The sequence below is a fragment of the Homo sapiens genome, chromosome 1 (assembly GCF_000001405.40).
Source record: "Homo sapiens chromosome 1, GRCh38.p14 Primary Assembly".
Classification (NCBI taxonomy): Eukaryota; Metazoa; Chordata; class Mammalia; order Primates; family Hominidae; genus Homo; species Homo sapiens.
The window spans coordinates 79,716,210-79,721,556 of record NC_000001.11 but is presented as its reverse complement, the minus strand read 5'-3'; the positions used below and the strand labels follow the sequence as shown (position 1 = coordinate 79,721,556).

Here is a 5,347-nt window from a genome sequence, read left to right as displayed (position 1 = left end):
TCTTACTATCCTTTTGGTATCTATTGAATCTGTAGTGATATCCCTTGTTTCATTTGTTATATTGGTAATTTGTGTCTTTTTTTATTGTAAGTCATTATAGAGATTTGTCAGTTTTATTAATATATCTAAACAATCAGCTCTTTGTTTTATTGTATTTTCTCTACTGTTTTCTGTTTTCAGTTTCATTGATATCTGCTGTTATGTTTATTATTTCCTTCCTTCTGCTTGATGTGGTTTATTTTTCTCTTTTTTTAAGTTCTTGAAGTGAAAAATAAAATTATTGATTTGAAACATATTCTCTTTCCTAATGTATGCATCCGTAGTATACATTTCCTTCTTGACATTGCTTTATTGTGTTCCACAAATACAGATGTGTTTTATTTTAATTTTTAGTTTGATGCTTATATTTTTTAAAATTTTCATTGAGAATTCCTATTTGACAAATGGGTTGTTTATAAGTATGTTTTTTAATTCCTAAATGTTTAGGGGTTTTCCTGTTATCTTTCTAGTTTTGATTTCTAGTTTAATTCCATTTTCACAAGGGAACAATTTGTATAATTTTAATTGTTGAAGTTTGTTTTATGACTCACCCAGGGTATGGCTGTCTTAGTACACATTTCATGGACACATGAAAAGAATGCATATTCCACTGTGATTGGATATAAAGTTCTATAAATATCAGTCAGATCCTGTTGTTGATATTTGATGATACTATTGAGTTCCTCTATATTCTTGCTAATTTCAGGTTCAGTGATTTTATCAGTTTTTGAGAAAAGGGTATTGGTGTCCCTGACTTTATGCATTTGTCTATTTGTCTTTTCAATTATATCAGTTTTGGTTTTACATATTTTGCAGTTCTGTTGTTTGGTTCACAAACATTTGGAATTACTGTGTATTCTTGGCATAATGACCCTTTTATTATTATACAATATCATTCTGTCCTATTTTTTTTTTTTTTTTTTTTTTTGCTGTGATGCTTACTTTGTCTAATATTACTCTATCTGCTTCTGAATTTTAAAATTGTCTGATGATGATATGACTAGGCTTTGGGTCCCCACCCAGACCTCACCTTGAATTGTAATCCTGATAATTCCCATAATCCTCACGTGTCAAGGAAAGACCAGGCGGAGGTAATTCAGTCATGGGTTAAGTTTCCCCCTTGCTGTTCTCATGATAGTGAGTTCTCACAAGATCTGATGTTTTATAAGGTGCTCTTCCCCTTTCACTCAGCACTTGTCCTTCCTGTTGCCTTGAGAAGAAAGTGCCTTGCTTCCCCTTCACCTTCCTCCATGATTGTAAGTGTGCTGAGGTCTCTCCAGCCATGCTGAACTGTAAGTCAATTAAATCTCTTCCCTTTATAAATTACCTAGTCTTGGGCAGTTCTTTACAGTAGTGTGAAAATGGACTAATAAAGTAAGTTGGTACTGCAGAGAGTAGGGTGCTGCTCTAAAGATACCAGAAAATGTGGAAGCGACTTTGGAACTGGGTAATGGACAGAGATTGGAACAGTTTGGAGGGCTCAGAAGAAGACAGGAAGGTGTGGAAGGGTTTGGAACTTCCTAGAGACTTATTAAATAGTTTTGACCAAAATGCTGATAGTAATATGGATAATGAATTGCAGGCTGAGGTGGTCTCAGATGGAGATGAGGAACTTGTTGGGAATTGGAATAAATGTGACTCCTGCTATGCTTTACCAAAGAGGCTGGTGTCATTTTGCCCCTGCCCTGGAGATCTGTGGAATGTTGAACTTGAGAGAGATAATTTAGGGTATCTGGTGGAAGAAATTTCTAAGAGGCAAAACATTCAAGAGGTGACTTGGGTACTCTTAAAAGCATTCAGTTTTATGCATTCACAAAGATATTATTTGGAATTGAAACCTTTGTTGAAAAGGGAAGCAGAGCATAAAAGTTTAGAAAATTTGCGGCCTGATAATGCAATAGAAAAGAAAACCCCATTTTCTGAGGAGAAATTCAAGCTGGCTGCAGAAATTTGCATAAATAACAAGGAGTCAGATGTTAATCACCAAGACAATGGGGAAAACGTCTCCAGGGCATGTCATAAGTCTTCATAGCATCCCTTCCCACCACAGGCCCGGAGGGCAAGGTGAAAAAAAGTGGTTTTGTGGGCTGGGCACAGGGACTTGATGCTTGGTGCAATCTCAGGACTTGGTGCTCTGTGTCCCAGTCATGGCCAAAAGGGCCAATGTACAGCTCAGGTCATTGCTTCAGAGGGTGCAAGCCCCAAGGCGTGGCAGCTTACACATGGTGTTGGGCCTGCGGGTGCACAGAAGTCAAGAATTGAAGTTTGGGAACCTCCAGCTAGATTTCAGAGGATTTATGCAAACTCCTGGATGTCCAGAGAGAAGTTTTCTGCAGGGGTGGAGCCCTCATTGAGAACCTCTGCTAAGGCAGTGCAGAAGGAAAATGTGGGGTTGGAGCCCCCACACAGAGTCCCCACTGGGGCATCACCTAGTGGAGCTGTGAGAAGAGAGTCTCCATTTGCCAGACCCCAGAAGACCCACCCACAGCTTGCACTGTGTGACTGGAAAAGCCAGGTACTCAACACAAGCCTGTGAAAACAGCCAGGAGGGAGGTTGTACCCTTCAAAGCCACAGGGGAAGAGCTGCCCAAGGTTGTGGGAGCCCACCTGTTGTATCAGTATGACCTGGATGTAAGACACAAACTCAAAGGAGATCATTTGGAGCTTTAAGATTTGACAGCCCTGCTGGGTTTTGGACTTGAATGGGGACTGCAGCCCCTTTGTTTTGGCCAATTTCTCGCATTTAGAACAAGTGTATTTACCCAAAGCTTGCTCACACATTGTATTTAGAAAGGAACTAAGTTGCTTTTGATTTTATAGGCTCATGGGTGGAAGTGACTTACCTTGTTTCAGATGAGATTTTAGACTTGAACTTATGGACTAATGCTGCAATGAACTAAGACTTTGGGGGACTCTTGGGAAGGCATGATTGGCTTTGAAATGTGAAAGGGACATGAGATTTGGGAGGGACCAGGGGCAGAATGTTATTAGGCTTTATGTCCCCACCCACATCTCATCTTGAATTGTAATCCCAGTAATCCCCATAATCCCCATGTGTCAAGGGAGGGACCAGGTGAAGGTAACTGAATCACGGGGTTTGTTTCCCCGATGCTGTTCTCATGATAGTGAGTGAGTTCTCAAGAGATCTGATAGTTTTACAAGGAGCTCTTCCCATTTTGCTTCGCACTTCTTCCTGTTGCTTTGTGGAAAAGGTGCCTTGCTTCCCCTTCACCTTCCTCCATGATTGTACGTTTCCTGAGGCCTCTCCAGCCAAGCTGAACTGTGAGTCAATTAAACCTCTTTCCTTTATAAATTACCCAGTCTTGGGCAGTTCTTTAAAGCAGTATGAAAACAGACTAACACAGATGATATATTTTTTTTTTACACTGATATGTCCATGGCTGAAAAAATATATTTCATGTACACATGGTGGAAACTAGGCTACATAAAAATCCTGAGTGATAACTATTGGATTGGCCATTCAATATTTCCTCTGGTAATACCGAGGCTTTCAAATGTTAGACTGCAGAAGAATAGATTTACATTAATAATATCTAGCTCGGAAGTGAAATAAATGTTAGTTAATGGGAATTAGCACGGGAAAATTCTTTCTCTTAAAATGATCAGAGCTATAATTCCTTAATCTTTGTTTTTACTTCAATAAACAAGGCATATATAGTCTTTATTGATATATGAATTCACAAGATTACTCAATTTGCATATCCATTCATATAAGAATAAGATATTAAGAAAATGTTTCTATTATTTTACTACTTGAAGAAAGACCAGAAAGTCACTTATTAATCTGGTTTATCACACTATGCTGTTATTCCAAAACAGGTAAGCAAACAAAAAGCCAAGTAAAAAATGTCAAAATGTCACCTTATTGTCTATATTAATACTTTTTTAAAAAATCATAACCAATAATTAAATATTATCTGATGTTTTTATGTCAACACAGTACTCCAATAATTATTTTTAATGTTTTTAAATTTGCTTATTTTGTGATAAATTTTATTGATTATCAAGTTATTTAAAAATGATCAAGATTCCGCTAGATTTTGCAATGTAAAAAAAAATTTTATAAGGATCTAAAAATCCTTCTCATTAGTGATAGGTAGTGAAAGCCCCACAGTTCTGCAGAAATATCCATGCCTGACACAATACAGTTACTATTTCATAAGAATGTAGTTATGTATATTAACCTCCTAAATTTTACATATTTACTTTCTAGCCATTACTATAATAATATATTATTGTCCAGTCTACTGTTTGAGTCACAATTTTTTTTCTGAGAAATTTTGGTCTATTTGGTGAAGAAGTGATGTGTAATAATTCCCACCCAAATTATTTTTTTATTTCTTTAATCTCTTAGATTTGATACCACTTTTCCTATTTTAAGCAATGTCTGCTATACTAATACATGATAAATGCTTGAAATGTACTTTTGAATCGATGAATAGATATGTAAAAAATTTAAATGAATCAATATTTTTCTTAAAGAAAAAATTCAGGACACTAACTCACGTGAATTTTTTTTCTGTCATAATGAAAAGAAAATATAAAATGAAGTAACTGCCTTCATTTTATAAAACTTAAGGTTAGCCTTTACTGATAATGCATTATTCGCTGGTGATCAGGATTATGTAATTATTATGTTTATTTGATTATTTACTATTTATATTTAGTGCTTTCTGTTTTGTTGTTTTTTAAAAGAATTTGAATCAGTTTCAACACAGTACAAAGCAACTCTGTTAAACATTCCTTCCAGGGCCTGCCAAGAACAAAAGCACTTTAAGGGAACAGAAGAATTGCTGTTACCAGGCACCTGTGATGAGTCAATCACTGCAGATAAACACCAAATTTATGTGTGTTCATCTTGGCAGCCAAGGCAAAAAGGAAAAATGTGTTTCTCCCAAGGTTGCCTGCATACACAAACATTTTCTTGGCTCAAAACTGAATGGAGACTTTAACATGTGGTTTCTTATGTTAAAAACATTGAAGAACATAATGGATGGATGATGCCTTCACACAATCTTATGAAAAACATGGACATTGTTCAACTATAAAAGGTTCAATTTTAACATTAAAAGAAATTCAGTGGAATCCTTTCTATGGGTTGCTGAGATAATGAAATCCAAATATATCATTCCTAAATACCCAATTTAAAACAGACAGAGCTTTAGACAATCTGGAGGAAGAGGTAATCAACCTATCCAAAAGACAGCCTCTCTCTCAAAAAAAATGTCTCAAATTAGCTTTTGGAAAGAACTGCTCTGCTGTTAGTTTAGAAGTTCTGAATTCCTAG

The 5,347-nt window shown here is 36.2% G+C and overlaps 1 annotated feature.

The window, feature by feature from the left end:
- Positions 4,759 to 5,053: a silencer, noted in NCBI's record as "tiled region #7267; HepG2 Repressive non-DNase unmatched - State 24:Quies, and K562 Repressive non-DNase unmatched - State 24:Quies". NCBI's record gives its function as "represses a minimal TATA promoter and a strong SV40 promoter by Sharpr-MPRA in HepG2 and K562 cells {active_cell/tissue: HepG2 | K562}" and the evidence as "EXISTENCE:reporter gene assay evidence [ECO:0000049][PMID:27701403]".